The 16,270-nt window shown below is 46.8% G+C and overlaps 2 long non-coding RNA genes across 2 annotated transcripts, besides 2 other annotated features; one reads left to right on the top strand and one right to left on the bottom strand.

Annotated features, from left to right (window-relative positions):
* Window positions 1,592-2,095: an enhancer, noted in NCBI's record as "H3K27ac-H3K4me1 hESC enhancer chr15:69850399-69850902 (GRCh37/hg19 assembly coordinates)". NCBI's record gives its function as "activates a minimal SCP1, AML or CMV promoter by ChIP-STARR-seq in primed H9 embryonic stem cells {active_cell/tissue: H9 hESC(primed)}" and the evidence as "EXISTENCE:reporter gene assay evidence [ECO:0000049][PMID:30033119]".
* Window positions 2,096-2,597: an enhancer, noted in NCBI's record as "H3K4me1 hESC enhancer chr15:69850903-69851404 (GRCh37/hg19 assembly coordinates)". NCBI's record gives its function as "activates a minimal SCP1, AML or CMV promoter by ChIP-STARR-seq in primed H9 embryonic stem cells {active_cell/tissue: H9 hESC(primed)}" and the evidence as "EXISTENCE:reporter gene assay evidence [ECO:0000049][PMID:30033119]".
* DRAIC (downregulated RNA in cancer, inhibitor of cell invasion and migration) lies at window positions 5,252-14,972 on the top strand. The gene is made up of 5 exons (NR_026979.1): window positions 5,252-5,549; window positions 6,648-6,834; window positions 7,122-7,336; window positions 8,756-9,059; window positions 14,272-14,972. It is a non-coding gene; the product is annotated as a downregulated RNA in cancer, inhibitor of cell invasion and migration (long non-coding RNA).
* LOC124903517 (uncharacterized) lies at window positions 8,491-10,441 on the bottom strand. The gene is made up of 2 exons (XR_007064696.1): window positions 10,143-10,441; window positions 8,491-9,822 (listed from the first exon to the last, which is right to left on the bottom strand). It is a non-coding gene; the product is annotated as an uncharacterized LOC124903517 (long non-coding RNA).
* Window positions 14,973-16,270: the final 1,298 nt, after the last annotated feature.

A 16,270-nucleotide genomic window follows, 5' to 3' on the forward strand; every position in this document is an offset into this window, starting at 1 on the left:
ACACTCAGTATGGGTACTTCCAGAGCTCTGCAATGACCAGTGCAGGTCATTGCACTGCATTCAGAGAGGTTCTGAAGTCCAAGATTCCTCAGCCTGATGGTAAATACTCCCCAGGGTGGATGGGTTGTTACATCAATTATAGTAGAATGAGCTTGGAAAGTGCTGTCACCCCAGGCTTGGAGAGTCACACAATTCCTGTTAACTCTTTAAATGTTCTGAGAAAGTCCTCCAGTTCAGAAAGTTAACTTTATTTGACCCAGAGTTTTCAAAACTTGGTTTTTTTTCTTTTTCTTTTTCTTTCTTTTTTTTTTTTTTTTTTTGCTATAGAGACCCTCTCTGGGTGAACATTTTTGAACATCTCAGAAAGGGCTGGGAAAGGTTGACTTAGTCCCTTCTGCCTTCCGCTGCCCCCGCAATGCTCTTTCATTTTATGAAGAAGGAAACAGCAAGGACTCTGACTTCTCTGTTATCTCAGAAAAGAGCTGAAATTATCCCTCAACCTCAACCTCAGGTTGCAGACACGGCAGGTCAGAGAGGAGTTTTTCTGCAGAGGGTGGTCAGGGAGGAGAGGGGTTAGCTTAGAGGACAGGGCCAGACCTACTCATAAGGTATTTCTAATGTAGCGAAACACTTCCTCCAGAAAAAAAAAAAAAAAAAAAATTCCACACCTTTCTCTTGTTCAGAATTTTAAAAGAATGGGGCATTTTGCTTCAGATGGGGGCAAAAGTGGCTTGATGTGTGGATTCCTGTGTCTCACTTTCTCTTGCTTTCTTCTTTAAGAGTTTAGCCCAAGCCTGGAAACATCATTTTCAGGTCCCTGTGCAAAATGGAAATGCTGGGGCTCCCTGTTCTAGAATTATTCAGAATTTCAAGAGAGCATTCAACCAAGTTGGGGGTGGTGCCCTTTGGAGCTCAGGCCCTGAATAACTAGCCTCATAGGTTGCGTGCCCATGAAGCCAGTCCTAGTTAGTGCATATTCGTGTTTACTTATTTCAAAGTTCAAAGTTCTGAAGATATTTAGAGTCTGTATGTAAGGCCCAGTGGCGTAAGAGCTTTTAACATAATGAGCCAGATCTGGGCACCAGCGTGGAGATGCATTTTTACAGGGTGAATCATTAATTGGGCATTCTAAGAGTCACTCAGCCTTTTCAATGATTCATCAGCCATGCTGATGCTGTTGTGTAGTTCATATTATTGTTGTAATTAGCTGATGCTTGTCAAATGTAAACCTGGCTCTAACCTGGGTGTTTTCAAAAACAGCACTAGTTACTGTGTATTCAGGTAGAGGGGGTCAGCATACTGTAACTCTCTGTTTTCCTGACTTGTAATAATTAACCCCTTCTCTCAGGGGACGCACTCTCATTGTCTTTCCTGTAAACAGTTGGTAATTGTGAGTGGAGCTGTGGAGTGAGAAAGTGGGTACTGCTTTTCCTGTTTCAAGGGCCTGCATGTTCAGAAGCAGCAGTGTGGCATGGGAGATGTTATAGCAGCAGAGTCAGGGGCCAGTTCTTTCACTGCCTGATAACTTGGGCTTTCCAAGGGAAAGGGAGGGAGGTGGTCACTGCGGGTGAGACAAAGAAAGTGCTTGGTAAGGGATTTCTGGGATCCTTGAGCCCAGAGTGGATTAGATGGGATTAGAGACCCACTCTGAGCTGTTTCTACCTGCATCTTAATCCACTCCAGAGCTGAGGCTTCCTGATCCCTCTAACCAGGTGCATGTTCACTGGGCTTCCAGCTTCCAAGCCTTCTACCTGTGGAATGCTTGGTCCAATGTCTGGGGCACCCACTCTTACTCCAAACTCCTCCAGATCTGCAGAGTGGCCCAGCATATTCTCTTCTTGAAAGGAGGTCTTTGCCTAACAGAAGTAAGTCTGTAACCCTAGGCTGATTGGAGAAAGGGGTGTGGTGTTTATGTGACCTGTTTTCTTGCCTCCAGGGCAGGTCAAGGAATCCTTCCTTGACCCTTAAAAACAGCAGTGGTTTTAACAAGTTTTCTCCTTTTTGCTTTTAACTTTTTCTTGGTTCATAGTCTGCATGCTACTGTCTCATGGAGCCAGGAGCAGAGCAGGAGAGGGGGAAAGCTGGGGTCTGATGGAGGCTGGGAACCTTGTGGCCTGTGCCTGAGCTCTGTGGGACCATGTTGGGGCAGGGATGGGAGTGCCCTAGGCCCGGAAGCAGGTTGGCCGTGGCTCAACACTCACCAAATGCACCCAACCTTAGCTAAGACTTCTCCTTATAGGGGGATCATCGATACCACATCTTCCGGGCCCATTTTCCTTACTTAACCAGATGTTAGGCCATGCAGATTGGAGAAATATAGTTATCTCTACTTAACACGTCATAAATTACAATCATAAATTACCCCCGTGTTTGTGTGCCCTTGTTCCGAAAGCAAAGGTTCTGAAACAACCTTAGTTGAGATGGACGTTTCCAGTGAGGGTAGGTATATCAGTAGGTTGAGACGAAGCATGCCAATGCAGGTACGATTTACTTATTTGTTTTTAATTGCTGTAGATAAACCCTAATTCATAACTATTTACTGGAGGTGAATTGGGCCCCCATCCGCTCCACTTTTAAGGCAAGCTTAAACTTCTCCCTGATAACCTGTCACTGGTTTTGCCTTTAAAGACCCAGCCTCATCAGCCCATTTTCTTATTGCCACAAAAAAACCTGTGCAGCCACTGACCTCCTCTGTGACCTCGGGCAAGTCCTTTCCTTACACTGGGCATTCACTGCCCCATCTATAAGCAGAAGGTAATAGACCGGCCCATCTCTATGCCGGAGAACTTTGTCTTCAAACCCCACAGCCTTCTCTTTGCGCTGAGGGCAGGGCTACTGGTCGATGCAGGAGGAGGAGGCCTTGGAGAGGTCCCTCTGATGAGGAAGCCCATCCGAGCGGCTCTCATAGGCCACACACTTGAAACGAAGTGCGCGTCTCCACTTGAACGGTAAAATCTCGGTGCTGACCCAAGGCTCTGATGGTAGGTTTTCTAGGGAAGGCTGGTGGGTTTCCTCACTGGGAGCAAGGCATCCTCTGCAGTCACATATGGGCAATGACAGCTCATTCTCACTAGGGTCTGTCCTGCTCACATCACAAAAATAACCATAAAAGTCCCTATTATTTACTGAGGGCTTATCGTGGGTGAGGTGCCGCACTGAGGGGCAGTCCCTCCAGGGGTATTGTTTCCATTTCACAGGGAGAAGTGTTGTTGAAGTTCAGAGAAGTTAGGTAACCTGCCTAAGGCCTCACAGCACCACGAGTGGCAGAGCTGGGATTCTACCCCAGGCACTTAGCTCTGAAGCCCGAGCTCCTGACCACTTTGCCTGTATCCTTTCATAAATGTAATCTTTAAGCTGCGGCTGTTCCCTGTTAAGCCCCTGTTTAAAGATCTATCAAAGTAGATGCCTCCTCTGAGTTGCAGCCTTCTCTGATTCTCCTTATCATCATGAGAGCAGATACCAAGAGGTAGAGATGGCCAAAAGGTTTTAAGTTCCCTCTATTCTCTTGTACAATGCAGTGCCAAGTAATACCCTGGGGTTACTCACACTGCTATGGCCTCTAGTTGAAGATAGGAGTGCTGTGGTTTTTTTCTTGGCAAGAAATTGTGGACCAGGGGTGATATCCAATCACAGTCCTCTGGCCTCATTTGAGACACAGAGGGCAAGTATTTTTTTAACCCTATTATTTTACAAAAATATTAAAAGGCAAGCAACTGGACATGGTGGCTCATGCTGTAATCCCATTGTTTATGGGAAGCTGAGGTGGGAGGACCACTTGAGGCCAGGAATTCGAGATCAGCCTGGACAACATGGTGAGACCCCATCTCTACAAAAAAAAAATATATATATAGTCAAGTGTGGTAGTGCACACCTGTAGTCCCAGCTACTTGAGAGACTGAGGCAGGAGGATTGCTTGAATCCAGGAGCTTAAAGCTGCAGTGAGTTATGATCGTCCCACTGCACTCCAGCCTGTGTGACAGAGCACGATTCTGTTAGACTGGGTAACAGAGTGAGACCCTGTCTCAAAAATAACAGCAAGTAAGCAATCATGATTTTTTGACTTTTCAAGGAATTTGCAAACAACATGTATTCCCTTTGCCCATCTAGCTTTTGGGAAAGGACACCCAAATTCCAACAGTCACCTACCTAGAAAAATAGATAACCACAGCCATGGTCCATTCCATTGCGACTTGGTGATGTCAGAAGGTCTCAGGCTCAGGAGGGGCATCTCCCAGGGTCTCTCAGCAAATATCCCGATTCCTTAAACTGGGACAGTGTTTTCTGTCTGCAGAGTGTGCTCCCACCTTGGAATGGGCTTGTCTGGCCTGACCCTGAATATGCCCAGCAGGGACTGCATCCCTCAGTTCATAGATACAGAGGTTGAAGGTCAGGGAGGTGAAGACAGAAGGGGCAGCCAGTCAGAGCCAGCAGCTGCAGCAGGACCCAGATTTCTTGATTCTGAGTCCAGGATTCTTTCCACTCCACCAGCTCTCTTGTATGGACAGCTCAGGGGTCAGAGAAAGCACCTTTATTTCTGAATTTCCTTCTTCTCTCCTGTAGCCTTATGACCAGTGTTCAGAAGATTTATCTCTTTCTAGCTTGGGACTTGCACCCAGCAAGTTTCCATGCAAGGCAGCTGCCTTTAAGAAGAACAGAAGAGTCCCAGTTGGGCTTATGGGGAATGAAATCAGTCCCAAGCCCCGATCTCTCTGAAAAGTTGTTATTAAATTCTGTGCCTGGCCCTGACCTGGATTTAAAGATTTGCAAGAAGACAAATTCCAAACAGATGCCCATTAGGGCCGTGACAGCCGCAGCTTAAAGATAACATTTACATTCTGCCGGGGTTTGTATCTCTCTGTTCCCCACTCGGCCCCTCTCTTTCCTCCGGTGGGATCAATACCTCGGTTGAGGTTACGTGGAGGTGGCCACATTCTTTTAAGCTGTTTGCTCAGTGCTTGGTTTGCTCTGCTAACACGCTGGGCACTTCTTCCAACAGCCCTGTTTGCCCAGCATTAGGGCTGTTTGTTGAAACACCTAGCCCAATCCGAGGGGGCTCAGCTTTCTAAACAGTTGGTCCCCGAATCTGTCAATCAATAACACCAATTGGGTTCCTGATACGAACAGCAAGTGTGGCCAAGTCCAATATTTGCCCAAACACTGCCTCCTCCCCCTGCACCTGACTGTCCCCCAGCTTGACTAAAAGGACGATCACCAGGCGCATGGGCTGCTGGGAAGATACAATGTTGGCAAACAGGGAGCTGGTTCCAGGAAAGAAGGGCACATGAGCAAACATGATGGCCCCTTTATGAGAGGTAATTTACTGAAATGCACAGCGATTACCTGCTCACCCAGCCCTGATGTAATTAAAAATGGCAGGCTAGGGGCTCTGTTTCCCCCGGCTCTGGCAGAGAAACCTGGGTTTCGACTTGTGAAGCTTGAGGTTGGATGTGGGAATTGGCTTGGAGTCATAGGCGATGAGAGGGACATTAGGATATTATGAAGCCCGTGAACTCAACTCCTGAGAAGGACGCAGCAGAGCGAGAGAAAAGGTATCTTCAAAAGAGGCTGATGTTCAGTGGGTACGGGCTTTTCTTTTGGGATGAGGAAAAAAATGTTTTAGAACTTGTGAGAGGTGTTGGTTGTGCAGCATCGTGAATGGACTAAATGCCAAAGAATCGTTCACTTTAAAATGGTTAATTTTATGTTGTGTGAATTTCATCGAAAAAAAAAAAATAAAAAGGGTGAATCCCAATGAACCCGGGTCGTTTACATTTCAGAAGCTCTAATGCCTAACTCAGGGTTTGGCTCAGAGTAAATGCTTAATAAATGTTTATTGAAAGAACAACCTAACATTTGCACAGTCAACAAAGCTCTTTGTTATACATTAGCTCATTTCATTTTTAAAGAATCCTCTGAGGTGGGCAGGGGTAAGCATTCTCGTGTTGTAAAGGGGAAACTAAGGCTTTGAGAGGAGTGTGGCTTGCACAGTGTCACGTAGCTAGTGGCAGCACTGCCAGAATTCAAACCCAAAAGTCTCTGGCTCCAAAGTCTGTGCTTGTAAAGCGATACTATTTTGTCTACCTCATGGCTTTCAGGATGGGAAAGAAAGCAATAGGGTTTTAAAATATGTTCTCTCCCCTTCTTTTTTTTAAGGGTATTTATTACTAAAAGTGTTTTAAAACTGGACCACTGAGTAAAGTCACTCCATCTCCTACTGTTCCTAGCACAGTGCTTGATAAATATTTGCTGGCTCATTCAGCTGCAGCTGCAGAGACCTACCTGTGTTTGCTGTGGCGACTGTCCGGGCCAAAGCTCAGGCAGCTGGAAGTATCAGTGAAGCCAGAAGATTCTAGCTGTTCAGGGTCTGTGAGGAGGAGTCAAGGTCTGGGGTTTGTGTCCTCTGGCATAGCAATGGCACTGCAATGGGGGAGCCTGTTGCTGGGCTGGGCCATCTCGCCACTGTCACCTGCCTGTTGAGGGGTGACGGTGGTTGTTGAGAGGCTGGATCAGACCCCAGAGGTGACATGGATGTGGCATATTTGTTGGACTTACACAGCCTTGCATTTTATTTTCATCTCTGTTCCTTCCTCCCATGAGATCTTGGGTGGTGTTTATCAACCCTGAGTAATCGTTTCTTTGTCTGCAAGATGGAATAAAAAGGCCTACCTCATTGGGCTCGTGTGGGTGAGGAGAACTGAAGAGTCTGAGAGCGCGGCACGAGCCAGAGGCTACGGAAAACACTGCCCTCCTACACTCCACCTTGGAGAGACCCAGAAAAGAACAAGCTTCATTTGTAAAAAAGGAAAACAACTCAGGCAATGGGGGTGGCTTAAAGTGAGTACCCTCAAGGGGCTCGATCAGACCTCTGGCCAGAGAGCCTTTTGGGAGTGGGGTGAGGGTTGGTTGTTGCAGGGTAAAGGAAGTTGGTGTCTTTGGGAGGGGCGCTTGGCTGTGAGGTGACCTCTAGTTGTATTTGGCATAAGGGGAGAGGAGGGAACAGGGATTAGTAAGGAAGAGGGCTAAGAGACTGCCAAAGGTCTCCCTGTTTTGCCAGGGTTCTGGCTGGTGGGAAGCTGGGCCAGGGAGGTAGGGACAGGAGTAATCACCCTCTATGATTGCAGGGCACTCTACAGTGTGCAGATGCCTTCCACTTCTTCCATCTGCCCTGTCTCTCCAAGAACCCCTATGGCCCCGGTCTCAGAACAGAGCTGAGTGCAGAAATGAAAATCTATGGCTCTGTGTTCCAAAACGATGAAGAATTTCAAGATGGTGGCAGTGGTAAAATCTTTCTCCAGGAAAAATCTGTCCTTGGCCCAATGTGTAAACACTTGCTGAGGTACTGTGGAGCTTCATAATGCTGATGATATTGATGATGATGATAAGTATATAAGCTTCACATTAGGACAGTTTTTGTTTTTGTTTTTTTGAGACAGAGTCTCACTCTGTCACCCAAGCTGGAGTGCAGTGGCACCATCATGGCTCACAGCAGCCTCGACCTCCCAGGCTTAAGCGATCCTCTCACCTCAGTCTACCGAGTAGCTGGGACTACAGGTGCGTGCCGCCATACTTGGCTAATTTTTGTATTTTTTTATAGAGGCAGGGTTTCACCATGTTGCCCAGGCTGGTCTCAAACTCCTGGGCTCAAGCAATTCACTGCCTCCGGAAGTGCTGGGATTACAGGTGTAAGCTACCATTCCTGGCCTTAGGACAATTTTATTTATCTAATTTAATTTAATTTTTTTTTTTAGATTTTTAAAAATTTTTATTTATTTATTTTTTTAATTATACTTTAAGTTCTAGGGTACATGTGCACAACGTGCAGGTTTGTTACATATGTATTCATGTGCCATGTTGGTGTGCTGCACCCATTAACTCGTCATTTACATTAGGTATATCTCCCAATGCTATCCCTCCCCGCTACCCCCACCCCACGACAGGCCCTGGTGTGTGATGTTCCCCACCCTGTGTCCAAGTGTTCTCATTGTTCAATTCCCACCTATGAGTGAGAACATGCAGTGTTTGGTTTTCTGCTTAGGACAATTTTAATACTTATCCTTTAATAAAAACTTTATTGCACATGGAAGTTACTTTGGGGGAACTCCTAGTTGTAGAGTTGGCTCTTGAAACAAGACTCACTCATAGGCATTTATTTCTAGAATAACATTGTCAGGGTACAGAATTGTATCCTTTAGGTGGGACACAAATCCTAAAATGACATCCTTTTCAGGTATAATTTGTGTCTGGTATCTGGTATCAAATATTCTTGCTTTTAAAAAGTAGATTCAAAATGAACAATGATAGCACAGTGATTGTGAAGATGAAACAAAGTAACTTGAGTTGCCTGATTTGATCATTCTAGGTGGCCGGTGGAGTTATTTCTGTTTAAAATTTAAAACAATGAAACAGAGTATGAAATGTGAGGTGTAATATTTGTGTTTAGTAAGTGTATATTTTAGTTCATGCTTGAAATATTTTACTGAATTTCAATAATGTTTTTAAATTGAAACTTACTTTTTAATTATTTTGAAATGGCAGAACAAAATACAGACCATAGATTTATCAATGTTGTACCGTCTGCTAACATTTTGCACTTATTAAAATCCTCTCATTGGTCTCTGAATAATTATTTACATAAATTATTAGAATGTCACCAAAGGATGAAAGTCAAACTGATAGGTATATTTAAACATAAGTAAGTAAATAATTGTGCATCGTTGTCCTGTAGGAACTTGGAATAACTTGCAGTGTCTTGCAGTATTGTGAAACCAGCAACTTGTTCACAATTCTTCTGAATTTCTTGGGAAATTTGAAGTGGAGTACCTGTACCAACATGAAATGACACGAATTTAAGTGACGCTCAACAACGAAAAGCAAAAAGAACCAAAGAGGAAGCAACTGAAACAACATCTGGATGTATTTAAAAATATACAATGCCTCCAAAATCAGGTGTCATTAATGAAAATTCTGAAGAAATGCCACCGGACATAGCCAACGCACCTACGCTGTTGTTATTCATTTCCTGCTTTTCACAGAAAACAATTTTGTTGCATGGAAGATCGGTGAGTTAAAAAAAGACCTGCCCTGGGTGTCAAGCACAGTAGTTACACCGCTGGTTCTGCTCCCTCTGCTTGGGATACATGGGCAGGGTGCCCTGGTGGTAGGGCCTTGGTCACCAGCAAAGTCAGTTCCCATGGGATCCTCTTTCTGAGCTGATGCCCACTCCCCTGAAGAAGGGGCTTCTATTCAGGCCTCTTGTTGCAAGGAGCAGAAACCCACTTAGGCTGGCTCAAGTCCGCTGTGTTCCGCTGTTCAGCATCCTGTTTCACAGATGTGTCCCAGCCTCTCTTGGGGTATGACACGAGGCTGGCAGGGGAGACCCAGGGAATGTCACCAGTCCTTGGGGTTGCCTCAGCTCAAAACAGTCCTTCCTTTTAGCCTTTTTTTTTTTTTTTTTTTTTTTGAGATTGGGTCTTGCTCTGTTGCTCAGGCTGGAGGGCAGTGATGTGATTTCGGCTCACTGCAGCCTCCACCTCCTAGGCTCAAGCAATCCTCCCACCTCAGACTCCTGAGTAGCTGGGACTACAGGCACGTGCCACCATGCCTAAGTTTTAAATTTTTTTTGTAGAGACAGGATTTCGCCATGTTGCCTAGGCTGGTCTCAAACTCCTGAGCTCAAGTGATCCACCTGACTCAGTCTCCCAAGGTGCTGGGATTATGGGCGTGAGCCACCCTGCCCGGCCTCCTTCCTTCCACTTTTAGGTAGCTGTGTTCAGAGTGCGTCATCCAGCAGAGGCAAACAGGTACAAAATTTCTTCCAAGGCCCTGTGGGAAATTTTTATTAATTCAGTTGACAAATATGTGTTAAGTGCCTTCTTTAAGGACAGACAATGTCAGACCTGACTCAGAGGCTGTCTTCCTTGGGGAGCTATGGCAAACATGAGCATGACCAGAATTCAAGGAAGGGCAGGACGGGGGCTCTAAGAGAGAGGGAGGTGAGTTGTTATGGGCATGTGAAGAAGGGTGAGAGAACTTCGCCCCAGGGGTCTCCAGGAAGGGCTGGGGGCCTTTGTAGAAACTGAGATGTGCCAGGAGAGAACATCTTCTAAAGAATGGCATGCTTGGCTGGGCGCAGTGGCTCACACCTGTAATCCCAGTGTGTCCGGAATTGGTGGGTTCTCGGTCTCAACTGACTTCAAGAATGAAGCCGCGGACCCTCGTGGTGAGTGTCACAGCTCTTAAGGTGGCGTGTCTGGAGTTTGTTTGTTCTTCCTGGTGGGCTCGTGGTCTCGCTGGCTTCAGGACTGAAGCTGCAGACTTTTGTGGTGAGTGTTACAGCTCATAAAAGCAGTGTGGACCCAAAGAGTGAGCAGCAGCAAGATTTATTGCAAAGAGCAAAAGAACAAAGCTTCCACAGTGTGGAAGGGGACCCGAGCGGGTTGCCACTGCTGGCTCGGGCAGCCTGCTTTTATTCTCTTATCTGGCCCCACCCACATCCCGCTGATTGGTAGAGCCGAGTGGTCTGTGCGGACAGGGCGCTGATTGGTGCGTTTACAATCCCTGAGCTAGACATAAAGGTTCTCCACATCCCCATCAGATTAGTTAGATACAGAGTATGGACACAAAGGTTCTCCAAGGCCCCACCAGAGCAGCTAGATACAGAGTGTCAATTGGTGCATTCACAAACCCTGAGCTAGACACAGGGTGCTGACTGGTGTGTTTACAAACCTTGAGCTAGATACAGAGTGCCGATTGGTGTATTTACAATCCCTGAGCTAGACATAAAGGTTCTCCACCGCCCCACCAGACTCAGGAGCCCAGCTGGCTTCACCCAGTGGATCCCGCACCAGGGCTGCAGGTGGAGCTGCCTGCCAGTCCCGCGCAGTGCGCTCGCACTCCTCAGCCCTTGGGTGATCGATGGGACTGGGCGCTGTGGAGCAGGGGGCGGCACTCATCGGGGAGGCTCGGGCTGCATAGGAGCCCATGGAGCAGGTGGGAGGCTCAGGCATGGCGGGCTGCAGGTCCCCAGCCCTGCCCCGCGGGAAGGCAGCTAAGGCCCGGTGAGAAATCGAGCACAGCGCCTGTGGGCTGGCACTGCTGGGGGACCCAGTACACCCTCTGCAGCCGCTGGCCCGTGTGCTAAGTCCTTCATTGCCTGGGGCCGGCAGGGCCAGCTGGCTGCTCCGAGTGCGGCCCGCCAAGCCCACGCCCACCCGGAACTCCAGCTGGCCCACAAGCGCCGCGCGCAGCCCGGGTTCCTGCTCGTGCCTCTCCCTCCACACCTCCCTGCAAGCTGAGGGAGCCGGCTCTGGCCTTGGCCAGCCCAGAAAGGGGCTACCACAGTGCAGCGGTGGGCTGAAGTGCTCCTCAAGTGCCGCCAAAGTTGGAGCCCAGGCAGAGGAGGTGCCGAGAGCAAGCGAGGGCTCTGAGGAGTGCCAGCACTCTGTCACCTCTCACCAGCACTTTGGGAGGCCGAGGCAGGTGGATGACTTGAGGCCAGGAGTTGGATAGCAGCCTGGCCAATGTAGGGAAACCCCGACTCTACTAAAAATAAAAAATTCAGCTGGGCGTGGTGGCACACACCTGTAGTCCCAGCTACTTGGGAGGCTGAGGCAGCAGAATCGTTTGAACCCGGGAGGCGGAGGTTGCAGTGAGCTGAGATTGCACCACTGCCCTCCAGCCTGGGCGACAGAGCAAGATCCTGTCTCAAAAAAAAAAAAAAAAAAAGAAAAGAAAAAATGAAGACTGGCATGCTGTGTTTATTTATACCAGCTCTGTGACTTTGAGCAAGTCCCCCCTGCCTTCTGGGACACAGCTCCCTCCTCTGATGAAGCGGGGTGGGAGGGCCAATGGTCTGACATTGACATTATGGGCTGAATGTAATGAGGATAAAGTCAGGCAATCACAGAGCGCCAGCCCCCATCCAGAGTTAAGTGCTTAATAAACGGTGACTGATGGCAGGTTCTCAGGGTGTCCCAGGAACTTCCCCTTCGCTGGTGGTTCTCTACCCTGAGGCAGAGTAGAATCAAGGACTTAACTCAGACCTTCACTCAGAAAAGGCCTTTCTGCAGGTGCTGGGCTAATTCTGGGATGTGGTTCTCTGATGAGAGAACCCAGTCCACACTTGGAATTCCCAGAGGAACAGATACCGTGGCCCTTGCACAACCTTCCTCAAATATACACTGTCTCAGTGGAGCTTTTGAGAGAAGCTAGATAGCTCTTGTAAAATATAAACCGTCATTTTTGTTGCTAATAATAATAATGACAGTAATTCCTAGGCTCCTGCCTTGGAATCATAGCCTATCTGGAGGCAAATTTCATCATCACCCAAGGACTGGCCCAGCACCAGGAATAATAATTTCAGCATTCCTTATGCCTCAGAGGTTCACTAGGTCTGTGTGCGTGCCTTTCTGACTCACCTCTAGATATGGTGGTCCCTGTGCTGCAGGAGAGCTTTTGCTCTTTCACTGCCATTCATGACTTTCGTGTCTCTCAGGTACTTGAGCTGTATACCTAATTTAATCCTATAGCAACCTTGTGAGGGAAGTTATCTTAGGGATGGCTGGGATTTGAACCCAGTTCTGTCTGCGTTCAGAGCCCAAGCTCCTAAGCACAGCCTCTTTGCTGTTTGATGGAAACAATTCTAGCTCTGGGAGGTGCAGGCCAAGATGTGCACCCTGAAACAGGTTTCTCTGAAAGGAAAGAATATAAAATAAGGGCCTCGACCTAACTCAATGAAATGTCTTATGCTCAATCTTCACTGAGTGAGAATCTGTTAAAATCTGGTCAGTCCTGTGCTGAACTTGCCTGGAGCACTTTCCAGGTAGAGAGAAACTGGTGAATGAAGAAAATGCATCATGATGATTGCAGGGGAAACACTTAATCTGTGGAAGATAATACCTTGTTTTGAGGCATTTGCAAATACTTTCTGAGACACCCTGTTCCATGCCAATAATGGATGGACTAACCTCAAATTGTTCTTATTTGTTCATTAATGCAAGTCCCCCAAGGGCTTGCTATGCAACACTTTATTAGCCTGGACCGAGTAATATATTTTAAAGCAATAAAACTACATTATTTTAAAATTATTTTTTAATGTGGACTTTCCAGCCATTGACTGCCCTCTCTGATAGGTCTGAATTAGTGAGTTTTAATTGCGTGTAAAAGAGCAATGAAATCATCATTATGAAAATGATGGGGTGCCTCCTTCATGGCAGGCACTGTGCTGGGCCTAGAACTCAGCCTCACTACACCCACCATGTGGGCACCCCATGCCTTCACTGCACAGACAGAACTCACGTTCTGAGGGGTTCAACTCCTTGCTAATGAATGGGGGAGCTGGGACTTAGGCCCAGGTGTGTCAACCTCTGTTGGGGCTCAGAAAATGATACTCCCCAATATGGTGCTTTGACGTGCTGGACTAAAGAAGAAGCCTCAAGGTCTCTTGACCTTCCCTACCCCTCCTACCTTCCTGTTTCTCAATCCCTTGTCTCTCCCAAAACACAGGACAAGGCTGTTCTCTGAAGTTCCCTCATCCACCTAGAAACCAGATGGCCGAAGAGGAACACAATTGCCTTCCATCCCCTTCCTGAAATTTCATTATCTAGAGGATTAAAACCCATATCACAGAGGAAGAGATTGAAAATTAAACATCACACCTACAACCCATACTTCGGAGCACTGACCCAAATTGTCTATTTTTAAGTCCCATTCCATTTCCAAAGATAATTATTTACTAACCATTGTCTGGAGCATTGGGCCCATTCATTCCTCTTAAAAATCATTTGCTGGGCCAGGAGTGGTGGCTTACGCCTGTAATCCCAGCACTGGGAGGCCGAAGCGGGAGGATCACGAGGTCAAGAGATCGAGACCATCCTGGCCAACATGGTGAAACCCTGTCTCTACTAAAAATACAAAAATTAGCTGGGTGTAGTGGCACATGCCTGTAGTCTCAGCTACTCGGGAGACTGAGGCAGGAGAATTGCTTGAACCCAGGAGGTGGAGGTTGCAGTGAGCCGAGATCATGCCACTGCACTCCAGCCTGGCGAAAGAGTGAGATTCCGTCTCAAAAAAAAAAAAAAATTATTTTCTACCCCTCAAAACAGCCACTTTCTCCTCCATCTCCTCTTCCCTGATGAAGAAAGGCGTATGAGCATCTGGACCTCATTGGGTTTAGGTCATCATGTTCTTGCAATTCCTGTGTGCTTATGCACATTAAATGAATTTGTATGCCTTTTCCTCTTATTAATCTGCCTATTGTAAATTCATTTTCAGTGAACTTCAAAGGGCAGAGGGGAAACTGTCCCTTGGCCTCTACCCCTCCAAGGCCCCACTTTTTTGTCAACACTCCTTGGACGCAGCAGAAGTATGAACATAATATGGTCCTGAATGAGGCTGAGTCTTTGGGCGCAGAAGACCCGGGTTAATAAAAATAGGAAGGTAAGAAAAGAAAAGAAAAATCAAGACACATCATAGGACTAAATTCCTATTATTTATCCACTCAGGATTGACCACCCCTTTGGGCCAGATAGTTGTACCCCCATGTACCAGGTGGGCACATGAAGACACAAGAAGTGCTGTGATGGTTCATTTTGCACGTCACCTTGCGTGGAGTATGCCAACTCATTGTTTGGTCAAACACTAGTCTGGACATGGTGGTAAAGGTATTTTTTAGATGAGATTAACACTTAAATCAGTAAAGCAGGTTACCCACCATACTACGGGTGGGCCCTGTCCAATCAGTTGAAGGCATTAAGAACAAAGATTGAGGTTTCCTAAAGAAGATGGAATTCTCCTTGAGACTACAACATAGAAACCCTATCTGAGTTTCCAGCCTGTTGCCCTGTGGAATTCAAACTCAGGACTCCGGTCTATGACATTAACCCTCACTTAACTTTTCAGCCTGCCAGCCTGCCCTATGGATTTCGGACTTGCCAGCCACACAATTCCTTAAAATAAATCTCTCCGTCTCTGTCTGTTTCTCTCTGTCTATATACACACCTGCATGCATATATACATATATATATGTATGCATCTATATATTTATATCTAATCTCGTATTGCTTATTGGTTCTGTTTCTCTGTAGAACTCTGCCTAATACAGCTGAAGATGTATTCTCTTTAGAAAGCTTGCAATTACTGGGGAACAATCAGTACAGAAGTCGACAATTACAGAAAGGGGACTAGGGTAATATGGTGGCCAATGTCCTTGTGAGTAGTGGTGACAGAGGGCAACAAGTTAGAGACTGCCAAGGGAAAGTCAAGAGCAAGGGAAACAGAGATGAAGTAGGTTCAGCCAGGCCCCACCACCTACCCAGACTAAACCTGGAGAGTCTCTTTTCCCTTTAGTCTTTTAAAAATATTTTATTTCTGTACTTCAATGGATGCAAGCCCCTAAGTCCTGAAGGATCTGTTGTTTGTTGTGTTACTCCAAGCAAGTATTAGCCTAGAAGGGACCTCACCTCCCAACAATGAAATGCAACTCTTACATTTTATAGATTGGGAAACCAAGTCTCTGAGAGCTTTCTATTAAAGTGACAAAGGTACTGGATCATGGTAAGCAGGAATATGTACCCAAAGGAGTAATAGCAGCTGTTCATATGCATTTTATTCTAATGCGCCTTCCTGTGATCATGTTAAATGAATTCCTGGGTTTTTACCAAACTTGACTCTTTTGAGAAAGAACCAAAGGAGCTAAACCAAACAACTCTTGGGGATGGATCTGCAAATGTTACTCCTGAGCTATGGGGGCTCCAGGTCCACCTCACATTGCCCCCTGCAGTCACCCTCATCCAGCCCTAGCCCCCAGGCAGATTGTCCCTGCAGACTGGCAAAGTCATTTCCAGGTGTGGTCTCAGAGAACCTCTCTCTGGAATGGTAGAAGGGTTTGTAGCCATAAGAGCTGATATCAAGGGGGCTTCTAGAAATCTAGAAAATTTAATTCCCCAGAATGTGCCTGAGAGTTAGTTTCTCCTCTAGAGTCCTTTTCTTAGGAAGCACCGGAGTCCATGCTTGCTCTTATATTTTTATCCAAATATCACCTCTATTAAGGCATCAAAGTCCCGTGAGAAACACCAGCTCATGCCCTCTTGTCCTCCCCGACTCCTACTGGATAGTAGGGACAGAAAAGTGGAGATTATTCCGCATTTTATAGAAAGAGAAACCAAGGTGCAGAGGAGGGTGGAACTAGCTTCTGATCCTAGGCTACACCCCTGGCAAACTGGGAAAGGTGTGTCAGGAGGAGTTGCCACAGGCATTGGCCCCAGGAAAGCCC

Source organism: Homo sapiens, chromosome 15 (assembly GCF_000001405.40).
Source record: "Homo sapiens chromosome 15, GRCh38.p14 Primary Assembly".
Taxonomy (NCBI): domain Eukaryota; kingdom Metazoa; phylum Chordata; class Mammalia; order Primates; family Hominidae; genus Homo; species Homo sapiens.